We start from the raw sequence: 26,910 nt of genomic DNA, 5'->3' as shown, positions 1-26,910 counted from the left end.
TCTATATGCTATATGGAAGAGACAAAAATATCAACATGAAAGAGTAACATCAAATAGTTGCTCAAGAGATTAAAAGACTTTTTTCTCTCTTTGCAGGGCAGATGAAGCATGAGACTACTGCATCAAAGAATTGAGTAACATCTTAATTTTCACCTGTTATAATTTTCTGTGAAATAGCAAAATGGCCTCTACTTAAATGTTTTTCACATATTATATTTTAAAATATGTGTTTCTAGAAGGGCTTATAATTTATTCTATTAACACTTTCAAGTGAAATAAACATGCTATAATTCTACTTAAAGGTATTAAGGTAACATTTTCACATATTTCATTTTGAGGGCTTCATTTAATTGAAGTTGGGAAGAAAAATAAGTAACACTAGAAAACTGCATTGGGTCTTATGATTTGCTTTTTTAAATCAGGAAATAAATGCAACTACATCTCTGATTAAGAATAAACATTCTCTCTAAAGCCCCCAAAATCCCTTTATTATATGTTAAAATCTTGGAAGGGTCTGAACTTCATTAAGAAAAAAGTGTAAGAAGGAACTACTATTAAAATAAATATTATTCTTTATCTTTCTCATCTCTATACTGATTGCTATCAACATGCAGTACTTAATAAATCTTAATTTTAACATTCTGATATACAGCATTATAAATGTGCAACCCAATTACAGAAACACTGATAGGAATGAATATTATATATTATTCATAAAATAGAGATTTGGAAATAAGAATATATTTCTTCATGGAAGCAATATTATATATAACCATGTGATCCCATGCCACATTGTAAAGGCCACTTAAGCCATGATATAGTTAAACCTTATCTTTAAAATACCTAATTACTAAGTAGAATACTGATTATACACAACACATGGAGAATTATGAGTTTTAGGAACAGAGTAGCCTTATCCCCTGTCCATAAATGCAGCAGAAGGAGGAAAAAGGAAATAAGGCATCTCTGAGTCCTGGAAATTATACTCCAGAGCGATTCATCCAAAAAACAAGATAAACAAGGGGAAAAAAAAAAAAGCTTGTCAAAAAATTCTAGTTATCGGGGCCAGGTGCGGTGGCTCACGCTTCTAATGTCAGCACTTTGAGAGGCTGAGGTGGGCAGATCATGAGGTCAGGAGCTCGAGACCAGCCTAGCCAGCATGGTGAAACCCCGTCTCTACTAAAAATACAAAAAATTAGCCAGGCATGATGGATGTGCCTGTGGTCCCAGCTACTTGGGAGGCTGAGACAGGAGAATTGCTTGAACCCGGCAGTCGGAGGTTGCAGTGAGCTGAGATCACATCACTGCACTCCAGCCTGGATTACAGAGTGAGACTCCATCTCCAAAAAAAAAAATATATATATATATATATATATATATATAGTAATCCTGATGTAGACATTTATAAGTCAGACTTTCTAAGTCAGGGACAGATAATACTCCACATAGAGAACTCTTGAGCTCTTGATATTTTCTGCATAGTATGGAAGCTATTGGACAAGAAGCCTTTATAGACAAGGTTTTTTAAGGCTTACTGACAAGTACAATGTACACTTTTACCAGTCTTGTAAAACTATTTTAAAAACCAGATGGTATAGGAATGGAAATAAATTGATCTTTTTAAAAATATATAATTTTGGCAATAATATACATTTCAAAGGGCAGCATAAAAATTCTGTTTCAAATCACCTCTACATGGGTCACTAAGATACTTTAACAGTAACTTATGCCAAATAAAAACTTATTAAGAAATAAAACCCCAAAAGTTAATAACTAAGATTTCTATTCTTTCTAAAGACTATAGATTTGTTAAATGTTTCAATTGTTAGTCTATTCGATAAGAGTTGGGATTTTGTTCAGTGGCTCTCAACTAAGGGTAGTTTTGCCCCACAGGAGACATTTGGCAATGTCTGAAAGCATTTTGCTTGTCACAATTGGGGGATGATTACTACATTTATTTAGTAGGTTATATAAGTTTCCATAACAAATTACCACAAATTAGGTGTCATAACAAATGACTACAAATTTGGTGGCAAAAACAACAGAAGTGTAATCTTTCACAGTTCTGGAGGCCAGGAGTCTGAAATCAAGGTGTTGGCAGGGCCTTCCTCCTCTGAACTCTCCAGTGAAGAATCCTTCCTTGCCTCTGCCTAGCATCTGGGAGTTGCTGGCAACCTTGGCATTCCTCGGCTGGTGGTAGCTGCATTAGTCCAACACCTGCCTCTGTCTTCACATGATGATCTTCCCTCTGTATATGTCTCTGTCTCTATGTTCAAATCTCCCTCCCCCGCCTTTTTTTTTTATAAAGACCACAGTCATTAGGTTTAGGGCTTACTCTAATTTAGTATGACCTTATTTTAGTTCATTACATCTGCAAAGACCCTACTCCCAAATAAGGTCACTTTCACAGGTACCAAAGATCAGGGATTAAACATATCTTTTGGGGGTGTACAATTCACCCACCACATATATAGAGGCCAGGGATACTGTTAAATGTTTTAGGATAACAACTTTCCACGAAAAAGAATTATCCAGTGGAAAATGCCAATAGTACCAAAGTTGAAAACCTTGATTTTGAACAGATACATCGGCAACCCTGATTCTTCAATGTGATGATTCTTAATAATCTTCCAATGGCCCTGTGGCCCTAAATTCCTGTTCTGCATAGTTTAGGTGCAGACATTTTTAAAGTGTGAACATTTTTTGCCACCCTTCCCTCCCAAGAACACCCTCCTGCCAGGGGCCTATTTTGAGGACTTTTTATGAAGAAAAACCACATGCTGGATGGACGCTGAAATACAACCCAGGAAAACAGTTATAGCTGTTAGCTATCTCATTGTTTTTGGCTAAGTTACAAAAGCACTTTGAGCTTCAAGATCAATCAAACGAGGTATCTAAATTCCCTTTCAGGTTCTCAGAAGTATATAATTGTAAGGCTATTAAAAGCTTCTGGCTTGGGATTAGGGACACATTAGTACAATAACCTCAATAACTTCAAAAATGCCAGGAAAAATGCTATTTTCAAAGAAAAGAATAACAACTCTTTAAAGGTAACATTCTTTATTTCGATTCTAACATTATTTGAGATATTCTATGTTTAAATAGCGGCAATTTTTATTAGGAATAGAGCTTATTTTTAGCAAAGTGTTGTGAGGTTTGTTATCTTACATCAGCATGTATGTGATAAGTTGTTAATTTCTAACGTTCACCTTATATTGCGCAATATGTGAGACCAGCTATACAAAGTTAATGTCAAAAGATTACACTTTAGAACAAATAGCCTCAACACATGTGATTTGTTTCTGTTGGAGGGCATATACACCTTTGGAAAATGATACCTAAGAACCTTAACAGATTTCTCAACTATTGTTTTAGTTTAATGCCTATGTAAACTGAAGCTTTCTCAGGTAAACTAATTCTTTTTGTTTCTTTTCAAACAATCTCAAAGTAGCAGAAACATTTCAAGAACAGAACATTTTCTCCTCTGAACCATGTGAGAGTAAGTTTCTGACCTGATGCTTCATGCCCCACTTAAACATTACCATCTATTTCCTACAAAGGACATTCCCCATACCATCCCAATACAGCCATTAAAATCAAGAAATGAATATATACGAAGCACCATCTGGTCCCCATACCCCATCTAAGTTTCAGAAAAAAAGTCCCTACAATGGACTTGGTAGCAAAATGTTCCAGCTCAGAATCACCCATTGCCATTGGCTGTCACTTCTCTCTAATGTGGCTTCACTCTGGAACTGCAACAGTCTCTTCTGACTTTTCCATAACCTTGACACTTTTTAAAATTCCAAGACAGTTCTGCTGTAATATGATTATATTTGAGGCAGGCACCTTTGGCAGGAACATCATAGAAGTGATGCTGTGCTCTTCTCACCATATCGTCTCAGATGGCACACCATTTTTTTGGTCTTTGATCATCTGATCAAAGTGCTATCTGCCAAGCTTCTCCACTATAAAGTTACTCTTTTCCCCTTGATATTAATAAGCATATTCTGAAGAGTTACTTTGAATCTTTAGTACATTGTACCCCATCAAAGTTTTCATTGATTCATTTTTTAATTTGCATCAGTTGGTACTCATGAATCCCCATATTATTAAATGGGTTACAATCCACTAATATTATTATTTATTTTGATGCTCAGTTTTGTCCCAGATTTGTCCAGTGGGAACCCCTTCATGTTGGCCTCTGTATCTTTTTGACATGACTCATTATCCTTTGAGCACTCCATTGCTTTCTGGCACAAGATGTTCTAGGCTTATCTGCTACTTTCCCACACTAGCCCTGAAATCAGCCATTTCTCCAAGAAGCCTTGGTTACTGTTAGTAAAGAATGGTATTTAGAATCCAAGATCTGGGTGCTAAATATACTCATCACTACTGGAAATCACTGCTAAGAATACATGTGCACATATTCATATACACATACAACTTATAATGTATATCATATATATTTATGTATATGATATGCATGATATGTATTCATGATACATATATTTACACATATACTTGTTTAAATCTATATACCTATATAGACATAGGTAAAGAGATAGGGATTTAATGTCATGGATTCCCATGGATACTGCCAACTGCAATCCAACACCACAGGGTTCATTCTACTTTTTCTCTATCTTTATTTCATTCTTCTCTAGTGAAAAACCTAGATCCTATTATCTTTCCTAGATTTAATTATTTGATCAGTCACCCTGTATATTGCTAAACTCTCATTGCCACTGCCACACCTGTCCCCACAGAGATGTCTCCTTACCCACTCAGGCTCCAACCTCCATCGCTGGTCTGACCCTCCTACATGCTTTCCTCCACATCGTGTTTGGGATCAAACATCACCCATCTGCTGCTCCTGCACAAAAGCCTTGTTAACTTGCTGAACTCTGGGACCCTGTGTCAAGCTGCCCGCTGCAGGAGCACCCATTCACTGTGCTCAGGCCCTAATACTCCATACCAGGCTGCCCTCTTGCCTGGATGCCATCCTTACCAAGGTCAGCCTCAGATATCCTGATCTGGGCCCCTTGGGCTCCACCCACTTAGTGAGGATGTCTCCTTGCTCTTCCCCACCAAATAACTATAGGATCTATCGAGGGAAAGATGAGAGGGAGGAGGGAAGAGAATGAGGGTGACAGAAGATGAGGAAGAGTCAGTTGCCCTAATTCTTAACAAATGTTTTAAACATATGATTTTTTTGTGATGATAAATTTAGGGTAAAGATGTTCATGCATCACAAACATCACTATTAAACGTAGGCTTAGGCTGGGCACAGTAGCTCTTGCCTATAATCCCAACACTTTGGGAGGCCAAGGCAGGAAGATCGCTTGTGCCTAGGAGTTCAAGGCCAGCCTAGGCAACGTAGTGAAACCCCATCTCTACAAAAAATACAAAAATTATCCGGGTGTGGTGGCATATGCCTGTAGTCCCAGCCATGTGGGAGGCTGAAGTGGGAGGATCCCTTGAGTCCAGAAGGTCAAGGCTGTAGTGAGCCATGAGTGTGCCTTGGTACTCCAGCCTGAATGACAGAGTGAGACCCTGTCTCAAAAATTAAATGAATGAATGAATGAATAAATAAATAAATAAAGGTAGGCTTATGGTTAATCTGTTCCCTTTAAACAGATTTTGGTCTTTGATCATTTGATCAAAGTGTTGTCTGCCAAGCTTCTCCACCATAAAGTTACTCTTTTGCCCTTGATACTAATAAGCACATTCTGAAGAGTTACTTTGAATCTTCAGTACTTTGTATCCCATCAAACTTTTCATTGACTCCTTTTTTAGTTTACATCAGTTGGTACTCATGAATTCCCATATTATTAAATGAGTTGCAATCCACTAATATTATTATTTATTTGATGCTCAATTTGTCCCAGATTTGTCCAGTGGGAACCCCTTTAAATGTCCTTAAAGGTAAAAAACTGCTAGCATGTTCTACTGAGATATGGGCTAACAATGTCAGACATATGTGGGTGCTAGAATAATATTTGCTTCAAAAATATTTATTACTAGAAAGCTACTGTGTTTGGGGTGAGGGTTTAGTAGGGAAGGGGGTTCATAAAGGGAATGCAAAAGCCACGTCCTATGGAAGTTAAAAGGATCATTTAAAATGATTCTACTGCAAACATTTTTCAAAAGATAAACATGACCCATTTCTCCAATTTGTGCCATGTAATAGTAATAATAATGATATTTAAAAATTCCCACTGATGTATCCTTTACAAAGATATATTACATGTCTTATTTAATCAAAAAACCTTAGAAGAGTCCCTGTACCTAATTTTATTCCAGGACTCAAACCGTGTCAGCATGTCATTCAGTGCAAATCAGACATTTAAATGCGTAGGCTATGCTGTCAGTAGTTCTGAACTTTCACAGACATTTCCAATTAACTCAGAGAGACAACTGGATATTGTGTTTAAGCACTGTGTTTAAGCAAACAGGTACTGGATGGACCAATGCCAAATTTCCCGCTCTGCTGCTTAACTAAGTATGTGTACTTGGGCAATTATTAAACTAAGCCCCGATTTCTTCATCTTGAGCCCAGAAGGTCAAGGCTGCAGTGAGCTGTGAATGTGCCTCTGCCCTCCAGCCTGAGCAAAAGAGTGAGAATTCCCCAGGAGTGCAGAGGTTCTCAGAACTGCAATACTCTGAGATGAATTTTGAAAGGTGAATCAGGGATAGAAGAATTGGGGATACCCAGAACGGAGAAAAATGTCCTGGACAATTCTATTTTTTTTCAGCTGGAACTAAAAAAAATGCTAACTCGTAGGGCTATACATTTATAACTATTCTTATTATTAAAATTTGACTCAAAGTCTTAGGTTAACAGAAAACCTATGTCCAAGTGTGTAGGTCTATACATCTAGGTAAAAAATATCCAGTAAACCTCACAATATCCTTTTGCAAAGAGAAAACTGAATTTTGCAGAGATCAATACCGAATCTAGAAAACAAGCTGAGAGTGCCTGACAATTTTTAATTCTGGCTTAAATTCGATGCTAACTTCATAACTTTTGTCTTGTACATTGTTCCACAATTTTAGCTTAAGTGGAGCTAAAAGGACAGAACTTATACCATATACATAGAGGGACATCCCCTCCCCCATTCATCTTATTGATATACACCTTCATTTATTCCACTTTCATTTGTTTCCTACCTTTTTTTCTCTCTCTCTTTAGAGATCTTCTCTGCATATCAACTTAACCGTGATGCCTATGGAATAAGTATTTATCTAACAGTGCACTCTCTAGGCCATATCATTTTAAAGCTGTGGTTTTTAACCAGCTCAAAATCACATTTAAAGCTACATGGGGAGCTGATAAAACTTCTTAATGCCCACACTGAATCCCAAGCCAAACGAACCAGAGTTTTGTAGGGAAAGATCCAGGTATCAGGATTTTTCAAGCTCTCTGGTGATTCTGACATACAGTCAAGTAGAGAATCAAAGTTCTACAATGAATCCAGAATGCACTGGTTCTCAGAACCGCAATACTCTGAGATGAACCAGGGATAGAAGAATTGGAGATACCCAGAAGGGGGAAAAATGAACTGGGCAATTCTGTTTCTTTTTCTTTTTTTTTTCTTTTTTTTTTTTTTTTTTTTGAGACAGTTTTGCGCTGTCACCCAGGCTGGAGCTTACTGGCACCATCATCATCATAGCTCACTGCAGCCTCAAACTTTGGGCTGAAGCAATCTTTCTGCCTTGGCGTCCCAAGCACCTGGGACTACAGGTGTACATCACCACAACCGCACTTTAAAAATTTTTTTTAAATAAATAAGGGACCTTGCTATTTTGCCCAGGGTGGTCTTGAACTCCTGGATTCCAGCCATCCTCCCACCTCAGCACCCCAAAGTGCTGGGATTACAGGCCTGGACCATTCTTTATAAGTGGTATTATGGAAAAGAGATATGGCACAAGGAAATTTAGAACTGAAGCAACCCAAGATGTTCTGTCCAAGTTGTTAACAACTAGACCTTTTAAAAGGCATTTATAAAAATTAATAGTCTTACCTTTTGATTATCCTTCTTTCTCTATGGTGTGTTACAAAAATTCCACATATTACAAGCCCATGAAAATAAATTCCCATGAGAGTTTGAAAACTTTTTGCAGAATAATGTCCCAATTTTAGTTACTGGTGGCCAATATTTACCAACTTGAGAGGTGGTGTTTTATTACCCTTACTGGCTGTTAACAGTTATGACACAGAAACTTGCAATAGGTTGGATGGAATCCTTTCAATATGAAAAGTAATTATAAACAGGTGAAGGTACAATGGCAAATTTCGTGTTGGCTTTGGTAATGTTTTGCATATAATCCCTCTGTCAAAGTGTCTTAAATAATAAAACAAGCAAAAATCACACACACACACGCACACACACATTTTGTTTTCAAAGACCACGGTGTAAAATGAAGATACACACACGTTATCCTTTAAGTTGTGGATCTTTGGTTGGCTAGTTGGTTATGATGTTTTTTCCCCCGCTCAGCTCTAAAAAAACATCCTCGGCAAGGTGAGGTGGCTCACACCTGTAATCCCAGCACTTTGCGAGGCCGAAGCGGGCGGATCACCTGAGGTTGGGAGTTAGAGACCAGACTGACCAATGTGGAGAAACCCCGTCTCTACTAAAAATGTAAAATTAGCCGGGCTTGGTGGCGCATGCCTGTAATCCCAGCTACTCTGGAGGCTGAGAGAGAAGAATCGCTTGAACTCGGGAGGAGGAGGTTGCGGTGAGCCGACATCACGCCATTGCACTCCAGCCTGAGCAACAAGAGCAAAACTCCGTCTCAAAAAGAAAAAAGAAAAAAAAAATTCCTCAAAGCCAACCCACCTGACAAAAGGAGGGAAGGAGCTGATACTCGAGCCTCACTCTCGAATCAAGAAAAGGGAGTAGGCCTTGGGGAAATGTGGCTTTCAAAATTCATGCCACATTTGCACAAGCCAAATCGCTATCTGGTCCCTGCATCCACCCACACACCCCACTGCCGTCTTCCTAGGAAACACCAGACTCTGCCCTGATACCTACGCGCCCGACTCGCGGGGCGCTGTTTGTTTAAGACTCGCCCCCAAAGAGCGCGGGAGCGCGAGCGGCACCAGTTCCAGGGTTCAGCTCAGGTGACACAAACGTAGCCAATGGGAGGCTGCCGCCGACTCTCGCCACCCGCCCTCACCAGCATCCCCGCGCCTCTCCCCGCCAACCCTGCCCGGAGCGCCAGCGATGCCCTCTGCCCGCGGGGACCCGAGCCTCGCGCGCCCTCCGCCCTCCCTACCCTGGCCCCTGTACCCATCACACCTGGGGCACTGCCGTCCGCCGAGCTTGGGCGCGCGGCGGCGAGAAGGCACTGGAGGAGGAGAAGCAGCCGGGGCGTAGGCGCCCTCGCCCCCAGCAGGCCGGGGAGGGCGCGCATGGCGCCAGAGGGTCCGCCTCAGTTCTCGTGGAGACTGCTCCCTCAGCTCGCCGCCGCGGGTGTCCGGAATCCCTCCGCACACTCGCAGGTGGCCCGGCACCCGCAGCCAGTGCCGCGGGCAGGACGCTGAAGAAAAGGCGGAATGGGAGGGGCCCGGCCGCCTTGCCCTACTCCCCGAGACGCTCTTACCGCGCCCGGCCTTCCATCAGTTATGCAGCCCTCAGCCCGCTGCTGGCGTTCCCGGATGTGCGGTGCTACTCCCGGCTGCAGCCTCTCCGGCCTCCGCCCTCTAGGCTCTAGCAGGTCGGGAGAGAGCTTGGGCAGGTGATGTGTAGCCCATCGCGTGGGGAGAGGTTGAAACTATCCCTGCAGACTGGCCTTTGCACTTCATCTGAGGCAGATTTCACTAATTTTCGTTGATGGGACAGATGAGAGACACTTTCCTCCTCCCCGACCCCGGACATCTTTGGGCTTTCTTATGAGGGAGGCTTATTTTTGCGCAGGTGTAAGGTTTTATCCAGCTGCCAGACAACTTGTACTGATCTTTCTTTGCTTTGCCTACTAATCACACACACCCTCTCTTCTAGCCTGTGAAGACTTAACTGATTTTCTACGGATGAAGGTTTCAGTGTCCCAAGGCCCCATACCGTATCTGATTTTACTTTATTTTTGTTTGTTAAGCCTAACAGCTTCTGAGGAGCCACGTAGAGCTCAAGAAGCAAAAGCTACTGAGAGTAGATGCTATGTAAACTGCACAAGACGTTGACCTTTGTTAAATCCGAACACTGTTTAAGATAATGCTATCTCTTACCCACGAGGCTGTAGCTTGGAATATTCAGTGCTCTGAACCAAATTAAATAAATTAGTGCTTTATCCGGGAGGGGAGGAGAAATCTATGTTGTAACATTGAAACACATTGATTTGATTTCTCTCCAGGATGTTATAACGCATTAAAAGATATTTTAAATATTTTTCACGAGCTTTGTTTCCTCTCCCTTTATTTTTTGAAGTTCAGCTTTCACATTCGTAAATTCAAAATATATCAGCGTTAAAAAAAAAAAAAAGGATTGGAAATAACATAAGAGACAAATTTTGAAAATTGAACTATTTAACAAAACCTATGCTTATTCCAGGCAGGAATGGTTAATTTGTAATTGGTACGTATTACTAAAACATGTCCGTTTTTGTTTTAGTATTATATGCGCAAAACTTTGGAAACAGATGTAGATTCTTCAAGTTGGCAGTGAGAGAATATGAATAATACAATTCATTCAACCATATTATCTACCAGGTGCCAGTCATTGTGTTCAAAAAAGGCTAGATAGGCACGCATGCACGAATGCACGCATGCACACATGTACACACACACACACACAAATTAGACAACTATTTATCTGTGAATAACAAATCTTAGAAAAGCCTCTTCTCAGAAAATTATGGTCACAATGATTAAAATCTTTTGAATGAAACTTTAAAAGATGCCTTCAAGGACTAAATTGTATACACTGTTGACCCTCTGAGGGCATTGACTGGGCTTGCTAAACCCAAATTGCCTAATCAATGGCTGCTACATCACGCCTCTTTCTTTCTACCCTGCATCTGGTCTCAGGACTAACTGCACACGTTTCCCTATAATTAGGTAGAGTGTCAACACTAAGCACTTCTCACCTCAAACTAAACTCTGACTGACTTTTCCCAGTTAGTCTCATAAAATCCTTAGACACAGTATTCACCCGTCTTCAAATGAGCTGAACTTACTTAAACATTTTTTTTTCAGTTGAATCAGCCTATTTATGACAAGAAAAACTTACTTGCCCAAGTTGATGCTGATCCCCACTGTTGCTTTTGCTGTTAGAACAAAAAAGTTGAGAAAGAAATATAATTCTCATTTTGCTAAGCATTTTGAAAGTCTTTTCATCATTGTTCCTGTTCTATATTTAGATATTTGATATTTCCAGCCTTATGCACATTCCACTTTTTCAAATGCTCCATATCCTTTAAAACCAGCTTATCAACTGCCTTCCCTATATAACTTTTTCTGACCTTTCTGGTCCAAACTGACCTTTTCCTCCTTGGTGAAATAAATATTGCAACAAGCACTTTGATACTCTCATCATCATGAAGTGTATAAAGGGGGAATAAGGGTCCTTTGTTTTCTCCCCTTGAGTTGGGTGGGCTCTGTGACTCCCCTAACCTACTGAATATTGCTGAAGAGATATTGTGTGGGCTGGCCAGGCCTGGTGGCTCGCGCCTGTAATTCCAGCACTTTGGGAGGCTGAGGCAGGCAGATGACAAGGTCAGGAGCTCGAAACCAGCCTGGCCAATATGGTGAAACCCCATCTCTACTAAAAATGCAAAAAAAAAAAAAAAAAAAAATTAACTGGGCGTGGTGGCACATGCCTATAATCCCAGCTACTTGGGAAGCTAAGGCAGGAGAATTGCTTGAACCCAGGAGGCAGAGCTTGCGGTAAGCCAAGATTGCGCCACTGCACTCCAGCCAGGGCAACAGAGCAAAACTCTGTCTCAAAAAAAAAAAGAGAGAGCGAGAGAGAAAGATTGTGTGGGCTTTCTGTTCCAGACCACAAGAGCTTCCACTTCCTTTCTCTTGGAGACCTTGCTCATAGAAGACAGCTGCCTGGTGAAAAGTACTACGGTATTATCCTGAGACTGCCACACTGTGAGAAACCCAAACACCATGGAGGACCGCGTAAAAATAAAGTCAGATCAAGTAAAAAAGGAATATGCAGGTTATCATACATACAAAAGAATAGTTCACAAACCGGAAGACTTCAAATCAAAAGTAGTAAGAAACTTGACATGAGAGTTACAGTGCAGCTTATAAAGCATCAATGAGGAAGTGCATTGACCTCTATTGTGACTGGCTGTTAAAAACTTATATTCCTTTTTGGGCAAGTAGAGCTGTATAAGCTTATTTGTCTGTAACAAATTGGTTCAATTTCATCATACTAACAAGAAAGGAAAGCTTAACTTTTGTTAATGGTTAGAAATTGCATTTCAGGGAAGTCAGGATAGCTTAAATTTTGGTCATGTGGCTATGAGTGGTTAACCTAAGGATATACTGTGGCCTCCATTTTGATTATACTTTAACAAATCCCCCATACAGGACCTTAAATCATTGTTGATTGTTTCTTTTGCTGTGCAGAAGCTTTTTAGCCTGATTCAATCCCATTTGTCTATTCTTTCTTGGTTGCCTGTGCTTTAGAGGTCTTACACAAAGTATCATTGCTCAGACTAATGTCCTGGAACACTTCCCCAAAGTTTTCATCTAATTGTTTCATAGTCATAGTTCTAGGTCTTAGATTTAAACCTTTAATCCATTTTAATTTTATTTTTGTGTATGGTGAGATATAGGGGTCTGGTTTCATCCTTCTACATGTAATTACCTAGTTTTCCCAGCACCATTTATTAAACAGACACTCCTTTTCCTGTTGTATGCTCTTGGTGCTGTTGTTGAAGATGAGTTGGCTGTCAATGCATCGGTTTATTTCTGGGTTCTCTATTCTGTTTCATTGGTCTATGTGTCTGTTTTCTTGCCAGTTCTAGGCTAATTGGGTTACTATAGCTTTTTTTTTAATGTTTAATTTTTGTTTTAAGTTCCAGGGTACATGTGCAGAATATGCAGGTTTCTTACGTAGGTAAGTATGTGCCATGGTGGTTTGCTTCACAGATCATCCCATCACCTAGGTATTAAGCCCAGCATGCATTAGCTATTCTTCCTGATGCTCTCCTTCCTGCAACACCCCACCCCCAACAGGCCCAGTATGTGTCCATGCGGTCTCATCATTAAGCTCATTCAGCTGAGAATATGTGGTGTTTGGTTTTCTGTCCCTGCATTAGTTTGCTGAGGATAACAGCTTCCAGCTCCGTCTATGTCCCTACAAAGGATATGATCTTGTTCCTTTTTATGGCTGCATAGTATTCCATGGTGTATATGTACAACATTTTCTTTATCCAGTCTACCATTGATGGGCATTTGGATAGATTCCATGTCTTTACTATTGTGAATAGTTGGTTATTATATCTTTGCAGTAAATTTTGAAGCCAGGTAATGTGATGCCTCCAGCCTTTTTTTTTTTTTTTTCTTTTTTTGCTCCAAATTGCTTTGGGTCTTCAGGGTCTTTGTGGTTTCATATAAATTTTAGCATTTGTCCTATTTCTGTGAAGAATGGCATTGGTTTTTTAATAAGGATTGCATTAAATCTGTAAATTGCTTTGGATAGTATTGTTATTTTAGCAATATTAATTCTTCCAATCCATGACATAGAATATCCTTATTTAAATGTTTCGTTCAATTACTTTAATCAGTTTTTTATACTTATATTTGTATAGACCTATCAGTGTTGGTTCATAGATGTATATAATGGTTACATTTTCTTACTGAATTGACCTTTTAATCATTATGTAGTAAACTTCTTTATCCCTTTTTACAATCTTTGATTTGTAGTCTATTTCCTCTAATATAAGTATAGTTACTCCCACTCTTTTTTAGTTTCCAGTTGCATGCAATATCTTTTTTCACCCCTTCACTTTCAGTCTATCTATATGTTTAGAGGTGAAGTGGGTTTCTTATAGGCAGCATGTAGTTAGGTATTGTTTCTTTATCCATTCAGCCACCCTATGCCTTTTAATTGGAGAATCAAGTCCATGTAAATCCAGTGTTATTATTGATAAGTAGGGAATTGCTACTGCCGTTATGTTGCTTGTTTTCTGGTATTTTGAAACTCCTCTCTTCCTTTCTTCTTTTCTGACTCTCCTTTTGTGGTTAAGTGATTTTCTGTGGTAGTATGTTTTAATTTGCTGCTTTTTAATTTTTGTGAATCTATTATAGGTTTTTGCATTATGGTTACTATGAGGTTTACAAAAAACGTCTTGTAGATATAACAAGTTATTTTAAAGAGATGACAATTTATCTTAGATCACAAAGAATAGAAACAAACAAAGAAAAAACAAAACTTCCACATTTTAACTTCATTTCTCTCTCATTTTGAATTTTAATTGACTTTACATATCTTTATATTACCTATCTCTTAACAAGTTTCTGTAGCTATGATTGTTTTTGATAGATTTGCTTTTTGAGGCTTCATATTTGATTTATAAGTGGATTGCACACTACAATTATAGTATTAGAGTATTCTGAGTTTGTGTCCGGAATTTATTCCTTCTGGTGGGCTCTTGGTCTCGCTGACTTCAAGAATGAAGCTGCAGACCTCGTGGTGAGTGTTACAGCCCTTAAAGGTGGCACATACGGAGTTTGTTCCTTCTGGTGGGTTCATGGTCTCACTGACTTCAGGAATGAAGCCACAGACCCTCATGGTGTTACAGCTCATAAAGGTAGTGTAGACCCAAAGAGTGAGCAGCAGCAAGATTTATTATGAAGAATGAAAGAATAACGCTTCCACAGCATGGAAGGGGACCCAAGCAGGTTGCCACTACTGGCTCTGGTGGCCAGCTTTTATTCCCTTATTTGGCCCCACCCATGTCCTGCTGATTGGTCCATTTTACAGAGTGCTGATTGGTCCATTTTACAGAGTGCTGATTGGTTCATTTTTACAGAATGCTGACTGGTGTGTTTACAATCCTCTAGCTAGACACAGAGCTTTGGTGCGTTTACAATCCTCTAGCTAGACAGAAAAGTTCTCCAAGTCCCCACCTGACCCAGAAGCCCAGCTGGCTTCACCTGTCAATCCCCCCTCCAAATAGGACACCTCAACTGCTGTGGGAATTGGGCGATGACTACTTTAGCTACTTCCTGCTGGATAGGGGTGAAGAAGGGGGCCTGCAGTGGTAGCGTCCTCCAGAGGAGAACTCTCTAGGCCAGACAAAGGGCCAGTGAGTTGATCCAGGGGCCTCAGTAGAAGTTGTTAGTTGACCTCATTTAGGGTTCCATTTGTAAGACCTCTATAGCTTGATGGCATCCATCCTGGAGGTAACAAATTTGACAAGGAGGTTAAAAACACAGGGCCCAAAGGTAATAGCAAGATGGCTGAAACAGGACCTAGAAATGGGAGAAGCCATGTTGCCCAACTCCAGAGGTTGGTATGAGTTTGAAAGGCGTTGTCTGATTTCAGAAGCCTTTTCCTGTAAATGCCAGGCAGCATCTTCTTCTATCCCTGGCTGGTTATTGTAAAAACAACAGTCTTCCCCTAAGAAAGTGCAGAGTCCTCCTTTCTCAGCAGTGAGGAGGTCTAGGCCTTGGCGGTTTTGGAGAGTCACTGCTACCAGAGTCTATTTGGGATTGTAGAGTAAGGATAGATTTTGTTATTTTTTGCGAACTGTCTGAGAAATCCTTTGAGAGCATGTGGTAGTAGGATAATACATGTTACACTGTTAACTTTTAGCAAACTTTACTATTGTTGAAAACCTTGTAAGTTTGGGATTTCAATTATTCTTTGCTATTAATAAGACCTCGTTCAGTCCATATTAACTTAGAATTGGTATAGATGGCTCCTTCCTGATTCTGTAAGTACTATAAGGTTTGGCTGAGTGCAAACAACTGGCACGTTTGAGCAGACCAGTTATTAGGCAATTTTCCTAAATCTGCTTCTACAAGAGTTTCTTTATCACTTGCTGAATACCCATTGTGTCTTTTTCCCTTAATCACCTGGGAGGAACCATCTATCATCCACTTCTGAAGGGAGTACTTCCTAGGTCTGATAGGACCTTTGTATAGTAATTAAGATTTAGATCCCCTGTTAGGAAACCTGCTGGGTTAAGGATTTTTGATAGGAAGGCTACGGTTTTGATAGGAAGGCTATGGGTTGTCAGTGGCCTCAGTGTTTTTGGGCTACACCCTTGTTTACACTGACAACACGGTGGTTAGGAGTGTTATAGGGTTATGGAGAAGACCTTCAATTATCAATTATAGGTTTAAAATTTACCCTGGCTTTTAAAGGAATAGCATACACTGTTTTTTCTTTACTACTTCCATCTCTCTTTCTCTTTGACTTCTTCTTTGTCTCTCTCTTTCTCTCTTTCTGACTCCCTCTTTGTCTCTTCCTCTCTCTCTTTGGCTTTCTATCTCTCTCTTTCTCTCTCTCTCTGACTCCCTCTTTGTCTCTGTCTCCTCCTCTCTCTCTCTCTCTCTCTGACTTTCTGTCTCTTTCTCTCTTTCATTTCTGCTGGTCTTTGCCTGCCTCTGCCAGCTGCTTATGCTGCTGCTCTCCCCTCTCCTTCCCCTTTTTGATGGCTTCAGCAGTGTAAGACTGCCACCTCCTTGGGTTTTTGCACTGCATGCAATAACTCCATGATTTCCTTGTGGTATTTAATGGGGCTTCCCCAGAGGTTAGGAACTCCCTTTCTTTCCATATTGCAGCATAGGCATGTAGGATTAGATAAGCATACTTACCATCTGTAGCAAAGTCTCCCAGTTAGAACTGAGGAGGTGGGAGAAGTACCTGTTTACTGGCTGTCCCAGGATTCCTCAGATGGTAACGGACCTTGAGGACAGCTGTCTGGGACAGGAGATTAACACTGAGAAAGATGCACCAGTGTCCAGGAGGAAGTTAATTTCGTGGCACTCAATAGTTAAATGTACCCGGGGCTCAGTGAGGGTGATGACATGAGCTGGCGCTTGCCCTGGGCACCCTCAATCCTGTTGTTGCATCATCTGGTTGGGGATTTCTGACACAGAGAACCTTTGTCCTCTGGGGCAATGATTGCATAGGCATAATGGACATGGGCGAGGGGGCGGCTTGTTTCTCATTGGACAATCTTTTTTAAAATATCCTTGCAAACCACACTGATAACAAGCCCTACTGGGTGATTGGCCTGCTCCATTCTCTGTCCTGTCTGAACCACCAAGGTTTGTTTTTCTGAGGGCCATGACTAAGGCTGTGGCCTTTCTCTGATTTCACTTTTCCTTTTCAGCCTGTTCCTCTTGGTCCTGATTATAGAACACTAAGGTTGCCAGGTTTAATAATGCCTCCAGATTTTGTTTAGGGCTCAGGGCTCGCTTTTGGGCTTTCTCCCGATGTCTGTGGCTGATTGGGTAATAAACTTATCTTTTAGGATCAATTGATCCTTGAAGGAGTCAGGTGACAGGGGAGTATATTTTCTTAGGGTCCCCTGTAGCCTCTCGAGGAAGTCAGGATTTTCTTCTTTTCCCTGAGTTATGGTGGACATCATTGAATAATTCATGGGCTTTTTCCTAATTCTCCTTAGTCCTTCTAGAACACAGATCAACAGATGTTTGTGACTCCAGTTCCCATGATCTGAGTCTAGGTCCCAGTGAGGATCCATACTGGGGATGGCTTGCTGACTGGTAGAGAACTTGTCCCTTTATTCAGCTGTTATTCTATCATTTTCTTGACTAAGATACCAGGTATCTCCAAACTCTCAGGCTGCAGCTAAAGCCACATTCTTTTCATTAAAGGCCAGGGTTTGATCTAATAGCATGACATCTCTCCAAGTGAGATCAAAGATTTGCCCTAGACCCTGTAGGACATCTATATACCTATCAGGATCATCTGAAAACTTCCCCAGGTGTGCCTTGATCTGCTTTAAATCAGAGGGAGAAGGGGACATGTACCCAGGTTGGGCCAAATTCCCCTCCCCCTACAGCTTAAAGGGGACATAACCCATAGCCCGGGGGTTTTTGTGGTCCCTTGGAGATTTCTTTCCTTGTTTCCTTCTAGGCAGGGATAATAGAGGAGGCTTATCATTAATAGGAAGGGGAGTTATAGGGAGGCTAGGATATGGGGGTAAGCTGAGAGGTCCTCTTGTGGGATGTAAATTAGAAGCTTTGAATAGTTGTGGATTCTCCTTCAATGAAAAGAAAGCTTGGACATAAGGTATTTCACTCCATTTGCCTTCCCTCTTACAGAAAAGGTCAAGCTCGCTGACTTCAAGAATGAAGCTGCGGGCCTCACAGTGAGTGTTACAGCTCTTAAAGGTGGTGCATCCGCAGTTTGTTCCTTCCAGTGGGTTCATGGTCACGCAGACTTCAGGAATGAAGCCGCAGACACTCGCAGTGAGTGTTACAGCTCATAAAGGTAGTGCGGACACAAACAATGAGCAGCAGCAAGATTTATTATGAAGAGTGAAAGAACAAAGCTTGCACAGCATGGAAGGGAACCTGAGTGGGTTGCCACTGCTGGCTCAGGTGGCCAACTTTTATTCCCTTATTTGGCCCCACCCATGTCCTACTGATTGGTCCATTTTACAGAGTGCTGATTGGTCCATTTTTACAGAATGCTGATTGGTGCATTTACAATCCTCCAGCTAGACAGAAAAGTTCTCCAAGTCCCCACCTGACCCAGAAGCCCAGCTGGCTTCACCTCTCAAGTTTATTCATGAACATAATTTTACCAACATGCTTTATACCTTAATTTTTTTTGCACATTAATGGTTTTTTCTTTCAGAATGAAGAACTCCCTTTAGCATTTCTTGTAAGATGAGTCAGGTAGTGGTGAATTCTCTCAGGTTTCCTTTGCCTGGAAAACATTTTATATCATCTTCACAATAAGTTTGCTGGATACACTATTCTTGTATGACAGTTTTGTTTTTTAACTTTTATTTTAGGTTTGAGGATACATGTGAAATTCCTGTCATGGGATTTTGTTGTACAGATTATTTCATCACTCAGGTATAAAGCCTAGTACCCAGTAGTTATTTTTTCTGCCCCTTTCCCTTCCTCCCACCCTCCACACTCCAATAGGCCCCAGTGTCTGTTGTTATCTTCTTTGTGTTCATGAGTTCTCATCATTTAGCTCCCACTTATAAGTGAGAACATGCAGTATTTTCTTTTCTGTTCCTGTGTTAGTTTACTAAGGATAATAGCTTCTAGCTCCATCCATGTTCCCACAAAAGACATGATCTCATTGTTTTTTATGGCTGCATAGTATCCCATGGTATATATGTAGCACAATTTCTTTATTCAGTCTGTCATTGTTGGGCATTTAGGTTGATTTCATATCTTTGCTATCATGAATAATGTTGCAGTAAACATTTGTGTACATATATCTTTATGGTAGAACTATTTATATTCCCCTGGGTATGTACCCAGTAATGTGATTGCTAGGTCTAATTGTAGTTCTGCTTTTAGCTCTTTAAGGAATCACCATACTGCTTTTCACAATGGTTGAACTAATTTATGCTCCCACAACAGTGTATAAGTGTTCCCTTTGCTCTGCAACCTCACCAGCATCTGTTATTTTTGACTTTTTAGTAATAGCCATTCTGACTGGTGTGAGATGGTATCTCATTGTGATTTTGATTTGCATTTTTCTAATGATCAGTGATATTGAGCTTTTTTTCACATGCTTCTTGGACACATGTATCCCTTCTTTTGAGAAGTGTTTGTTCATGCTCTTGGCCCACTTTTAAATGGGATTGTTTTTCTCTTGTAAGTTTGTTTAAGTTTGCTATAGATGCTGGATATTAGACCTTTGTCAGATATATAGTTTGCAAAATTTTCTCCCATTCTGTAGGTTGTCTGTTTACTCTGTTGATAGTTTCTTCAGCTATGCAGAAGCTCTTTAGTTTAATTTGATCCCATTTGTCAATTTTTGCTGTTGTTGCAATTGCTTTCAGTGTCTTCATCATGAAATCTTTACCCATTCCTATGTCCAGGATGATGTGGTCTAAGTTATCTTCCAGGATATTTACAGTTTTGGGTTTTACATTTAAGTCTTTAATCCATCTTGAGTTGATATTTGTATATGGTATAAGGAAGGGATCTTCTCATATGACTAGTGAGTTATCCCAGCACCATTTATTGAATAGGGAGTCTTTTTCCCATTTTTTATTATTTTGAACTTTATTGGTTTTATACATTTCTTATGTAATTGTTTTACTCATATAACATTGTGTTTTTTTTTCCTCTGTGCATATTGCTTTTTTCTAACCTTTATTTTAAGTTCAAGGGTACGTGCACAGGATATGCAGATTTGTTACACAGGTAAACGTGTCATGGGGGTTTATTACACAGATTATTTGATCACCTTAGGTATTAAGCCTAGTATCCATTAGTTATTTTCCCTGATCCTCTTTCTCCTGCCGCCTTCTACCCTCCAATAGGCCCCAGTGTGTGTTTTTCTCCTCTGTGTGTCATGTGTTCTCATCATTTAGTTACACTTATAAGTGAGACCATGCCATATATGGTTTTCTGTTCCTGTTTTAGTTTGATAAGGATAATGGCCTCCAGCTCCATCCATGTTCCCACAAAAGGCATGATCTCATCCCTTTTTATGGATGCACAGTATTCCATGGTGTGTATGTACAACATTTTACTTAACCAGTCTGTAGTTGATGGTCTTTGCCATTGTGAATGTGTTTGCTATTGTGAATAGTGCTACAATGAACATACACATGCATGTGTCTTTATAATAGAATGATTTCTATTTCTATGGGTATATACCCAGTAATGAGATTGCCGAGTCAAATGGTATTTCTATCTTTAGGTCTTTAAGGAATTGCCACACTCTCTTCCACAATGGTTAAACTAATTTACACTCTCACCAAAAGGGTAAAAGTGTTCCTTTTTCTCCATAACCTCACCAGCATCTGTCATTTTTTGACTTGATAATAATGGCCATTTTAACTGGTGTGAGATGATATCTCACTGTGGTTTTGATTTGCATTTCTCTAATAATCAGTGATGTTGAGCTTTTTTTCATATGTTTGTTGTCCACATAAATGTCTTCTTTTGAAGTGTCTGTTTATGTCCTTTGCTCACTTTTTAATGGGGTTTTTCTTTTTCTTGTAAATTTGTTTAAGTTTCTTATAGATGCTGGATATTATATCTTTGTCAGATGCATAATTTACAAAAATTTTCTCCCATTCTGTAGGTTTTTTGTTTATTCTGTTGATAGTTTATTTTGCTGTGTAGGAGATATTTAGTTTAATTAGGTCTCATTTGTCAATTTTTGTTTTTGTTGCCATTGCTTTTGGTGCTTTCTTCACGAAATCTTTCCCTGTGCCTATGTCCTGAATGTTATTGCCTAGGTTGTTTTCCAAGGTTTGGTTTTTACATTTAAGTATTTACTCCATCTTGAGTTAATTTTTGTATATAGTGTAAAGAAGGGGCCCAGTTTTAATTTTCTGCATATGGCTAGCCAGTTATTGAATAGGGAATCTTTTCCCCATTGCTTGTTTTCATCAGGTTTGTCAAAGATCAGATAGTTGTAGGTGTGCAGCTTTATTTCTGAGTTCACCGTTCTGTTCCACTAGTCTGTGTGCCTGTCCTTATACCAGCACCATGCTATTTTGGTTACTGTGTCCCTGTAGTATAAAGTCAGGTAGTGTGACGCCTCCTGCTTTTGTTGTTGTTGTTGTTGTTCATTTGTTTGTTTGTTTTTTGTTTTTCTTAGAATTGTCTTGGCTATTCAGGCTCCTTTTTGGTTCCACACGAATTTTAAAATAGTTTTCTCTAATTCTGTGAAGAATGTCAATGGTAGTTTAGTGGGAATAGTACATTCTTCATGATAATGATTCTTCCTATCCATGAACATAGAATCTTTTTCCATTTGTTCATGTCACCTCAGATTTATATGAGCAGTGGTTTGTGATTCTCCTTGTAGAAATCTTTCACCTGCCTTATTAGCTGTATTCCTAGGTATTTTATTCTTTTTGTGGCAATTGTGAATGGAATTTCATTCATGATTTGGCTCTTGCCTTGACTGTTTTTGGTGTATAGGAATGCTGGTGATTTTTTGCACATTGATTTTGGATCCTGTGACTTTGCTCAAGTTGTTTATCACCTTAAGAAGCTTTTGGGCTGAGATAATGGAGTTCTCAAGATATAGGATCATGTCATCCACAATGAGAGATAGTTTGACTTCCTTCCTCTCTTCCTATTTGAATGCCCTTTATTTCTTTCTCTTGACTAATTGCCCTGGCCAGAAATTCCAATGCTATATTGAATAGGAGTGGTGAGAGAGGGAATCCTTGTTTTATGCCAGTTTTCAAGGGGAATGCTTCCAGCTTTTTCCAATTCAGCATGATGCCTGCTGTAGATTTGTCATAGGTGGCTCTCATTATTTTGAGGTATGTTCCTTCAATACCTAGCTTATTGGAGGTTCTTTACATGAAGGAATGTTGAATTTTATCAAGTCTTTTCTGCATCTATTGTGACAATCATGTGGTTGTTTGTCTTTAGTTCTGTTTATGTGATTAATCACACTTATTGATTTGAGTATGTTGAACCAACCTAGCATCCCAGGGCCTACTTGATTGTGGTGGATAAGCTTTTTGATGTGCTGCTGCTGGATTTGGCTTTCAAGTATTTTGTTGAGGATTTTTGCATCAATGTATATCAAGAATATTGGCCTGAAGTTTTCTTTTTTGTTGTATCTCTGCCAGATTTTGATATCAGGATGATGCTGGCCTCATAGAATGAGTTAAGGAGGAGTCCCTTCGTTTCAATTTTTTGGAATAGTTTCAGGAGGCCCATTACTTGTTTTTGTCAGCTTTTTCAAAGGTTAGATGGTCATAGTTTGCTACCTTTTTTCTGGGCTCTATATTCTGTTCCATTGGTCTATGTGACTGTTTTTATACCAGTACCATGCTGAAGGAGTTTTCTGGCTGAGACTATGGGGTTTTCTAGATTTAGAATAATGTCATCTACAAACAGAGATATTTAGACTTTCTCTCTTTCCATTTGGATGCCCTTTATTTCTTTCTCTTGCCTGACTGATCTGGCCAGGACTTCCAATGATATGTTGAATAGGAGTGGTAAGAGAGAGCATTCTTTTCTTGTGCCAATATTCAAAAGGAATGCTTCCAGCTTTTGACCATTCAGTATGATGTTGGCTGTGGATTTGTCACAGATGGCTCTTATTATTTTGAAGTATGTTCCTTGCACACTTAGTTTATTGAGTTTTTACATGAAGGGGTGTTGAATTTTATTGAAAGCCTCTTCTGCCTCTATTGAGATGAGCATGTGGCTTTTGTCTTTAGTTTTGTTTATGTGATTAATCATATTTATTGATTTGCATACGTTGAACCAACCTTGCATCCCAGGTATGAAGCCTATTTGAACATGATGAAATAGCTTTTTGATGTGCTGCTGGATTTGGTTTGCAAATGTTTTTGTTTTTTGTTTTGTGGGGATTCTTTCATAGATACTCATCAAGGATATTATTGGCCTGAGGTTTTCTTTTTTTGTTGTATCTGTACCTGGTTTGGGTGTCAGGATGTTGCTTCATGGGATGAGTTGGGGAGAAGTCCTTCCTCCTTAATTTTTGGAATAGTTTCAGTAGAAATGGTACCAGTTCTTCTTTGTACAGCCGGTAGAATTCAGCTGTGAATTCATCTGGTGCTGGGCTTTTTTGGTTGGTAGGCTATTTATTACTGATCCGATTTTGGACCTTGTAATTGGTCTGTTCAGGAATATTGTCTATTCCTAGTTTTGTCTTGGGAGGGTGTATGTGTCCAGGAATTTATTCTTTTCTAGGTTTTCTAGTTTGTGTACATAGTGGTGTTTTTCATAGTTTCTGATATCTGTTTTTATTTCTGTGGGGTCAGTGGTAACATCCCCATCATCTTTTCTAATTGTGTTTATTTGGATCTTCTCTCTTTTCTTCTTTATCAATCTAGCTAGTGGCCAGTCTGTCATAACTTTTTCAAAAAACCAACTCCTGCATTCATTGATCTTTTGAATGGTCTTTCATGTCTCTATTTCCTTCAATTCAGCTCTGATTTTGGTTATTTCTTGTTTTCTGCTGAATTTGGTGTTGATTTGTTTTTGCTTCTTTGGTTCTTTCAGTTATGATGTTAGATTATTAATTTAAGATTTTTCTGCCTTTTTGATGTGGACACCTGGTGCTATGAAATTCCCTTTTAACACTGTCTTAGCTGTGTCCCAGGGATACTGGTATGTTGTATCTTTGTTCTCGTTTGTTTAGAAGGACTTCTTGACCTCTGCTTTAATTTAATTATTTACCCAGAAGTGATTCGGGATCATGTTGTTTAATTTCCATGTAATTGCATGGTTTTGAGCAATTTTCTTAGTCTTAACTTCTATTTTTATTGCACTGTCATCCAAGAGTGTGTTTGGGATGGTTTTGGTTCTTTTTCATTTGTGGAAGATTGCTTTATGTCCAATTATGTGGTCAGTTTTAGAGTATGAACCATTTGGTGATGAAAAGAACGTATATTCTGTTGTTTTGGGGTAGAAAGTTCTGTAGAGGTCTATCAGGTCCATTTGGTCCATTGCTGAGTTCAGGTCCTGCATATCTTTGTTAATTTTCTGCCTCAATGATCTATCTAATACTCTCAGTGGAGTGGTGAAGTCTCCCACTATTATTATGTGGGAATCTACACCTCTTTGTAGGTCTCTAAGAACTTGCCTTGTGAATCTGATTGCTCCTGTGTTAGGTGCATATATATTTAGGGTATTTAGGTCTTCTCCTTGAATTGAATTATTTACTATTATGTAATGCCCCTCTTTGTCTTTTTTTTTTGTTTTGTTATTTACATTTTTAATGTAATTTTAAAATCCTGGATCCCAAAAAGTCTTGGCTCAAATTTGCTTTTCTTTATAACAAACAATTTTATTTCCCACCTTAAATTCTATATTTTCTTCATCTAAATTGATACCACAATCCATTCCAGTTTTGACAATTGAAACGTCATCTTTATGGTGTTTCAGTGAGGTTAATGATCCCTTCCAAATTACATGTCCTTTACAGGCTAATTTAATTTTTTTTTCTAACTGTCCCTTTTGGACTCTGCAGCAATCCACAGGAACTTTTTTCTTCCCTTCTGTTATAAAGAAGGTAGCTAGTATAGACGCTTCACCTACTGGGTGCTCTTCCACAGCGCAGGGTAATCTGCTGCTCACTTCCTCTTGCAAATCTCCAGCAAGACGGTAAATTATTTTGTGAAGTTTAATTTTTACTCCTTTTTTGCAGTTGACTGTTGGATAACATTGCCTGTATTCACATTAAAGCCATATATAACACCATCAAATCTTTCAGCAAGGTTAACATCATTTGCACTTATATCACCCACTCCAAAATGTACTAATTCTAGTTCACACTCGTGTGATGCATCATAGGTATCTATAATGTTCAAAATGGCCCCAACAGATCATCAACATCACTTTTAATAATCACTGGGAAGTACATTTGAATCTCTTTCCATTTTCTCTTTTGGCTTTAAGGATGTTTGTTCTTTTCTTTCTAAATACTTTAGAAATGATCTCTCCTTCCACTGCACACAGCCATACTTCTCACGGGCTTTCCAATGTGTTTCTTGATGTTCCTTTGACTTTTCTTCTATTATTTTCAGATCCTGTTGACTTTTCTCCTGTTCTTGTTCATACTTCCTCCAGTCAAAACTTCACATGCCCTTAGCTCAGGTTCTACTTCAAGAATTTCATCTCCTGCAGAAGGAAGGTCTCTCCAGCCTATAATTCCCTCTGCCATGCTGGGATAGGGCTCACAGATTGTTTTTCCATTTTCATCAAACATTAAGTGTACTTTTGCCCAACTTTTTCCAGCAACCAGAACAGAGTCTTCTCTTAAAATTCCTCTTTGAATTATAGCTGTAGTAACAGGACCTCTTCCTTTGTGACTCTATTACTGTTCCTTACACTGGACCAGTGGGGCTCTGCTTTCAATTCCAACATTTCTGCAGTTGTTCTTCTGCCAAAGCCATTAGATTATCGCCTGCAAGTGCAGAGACAGGCAGTGTTTGAACATCACCTCCATAATCTTCACACAGCACATCATAAGCCAATAGCTTTTTTTACACTTTCTCAGAATCAGCCTCAGCTTTGTCACATTTATTTATGTCAAGGACAATAGGAACTTGAGCATCCTTGGCATGCTGAATAGATTCTACACCCCATTATCTGCAGCTACAACCAAGATGACAATGTCAGTGACTTGAGCCCCTCTGCTCTCATTGCTGAGAAAGTAGCATGTCCCGGAGTATCAAGAAAAGTTATCTTTTCCCCCGAAGGCAGAGACACAAGAAAGGCACCAATGTGCTGAGTGGTACCTCCAGCTTCCATTGCTGCCACTTGAGTTTTTCTTTTTTCTTTTTGTTTCTTTTTATTATACTTTAAGTTCTAGGGTACATGTACACAACGTGCAGGTTTGTTACATATGTATACATGTGCCGTGTTGGTTTGCTGCACCCATTAACTCGTCATTTACATTAGGTATTTCTCCTAATGCTATCCCTCCCCTATCCCTCCACCCCACGACAGGCCCCAGTGTGTGATATTCCCTGCCCTGTGTCCAAGTGTTCTCATTGTTCAGTTCCCACCTATGAGTGAAAACATGCAGTTTTTGATTTTCTGTCCTTACAATGGTTTGCTCAGAATGATGGTTTCCAGCTTCATCCATGACCCTAAAAACGACATGAACTTATCCTTTTTTGTGGCTGCATAGTATTCCATGGTGTATATGTGCCACATTTTCTCAATCCAGTCTATTATTGATGGACATTTGGGTTGGTTCCAAGTCTTTACTATTGTGAATAGTGCTGCAATAAACATTCATGTGCATGTGTCTTTAT

General features: G+C 39.5%; 2 pseudogenes across 1 annotated transcript in view; both read right to left on the bottom strand.

Annotated features, from left to right (window-relative positions):
- EMBP1 (embigin pseudogene 1) overlaps positions 1 to 9,656 on the bottom strand; it is a 52,777-nt pseudogene extending 43,121 nt beyond the window's left edge. The window contains exon 1 of the transcript NR_003955.1: positions 9,309 to 9,656. The product of NR_003955.1 is annotated as an embigin pseudogene 1 (transcript). The remainder of the gene's footprint in view (positions 1 to 9,308) is intronic.
- MTIF2P1 (mitochondrial translational initiation factor 2 pseudogene 1) lies at positions 24,851 to 26,443 on the bottom strand (annotated as a pseudogene).

The sequence above is a fragment of the Homo sapiens genome, chromosome 1 (genome assembly GCF_000001405.40).
Source record: "Homo sapiens chromosome 1, GRCh38.p14 Primary Assembly".
Lineage (NCBI taxonomy): Eukaryota > Metazoa > Chordata > Mammalia > Primates > Hominidae > Homo > Homo sapiens.
The sequence above is the reverse complement of the archived record's forward strand: the minus strand, read 5'-3'. Positions and strand labels throughout refer to the sequence as shown.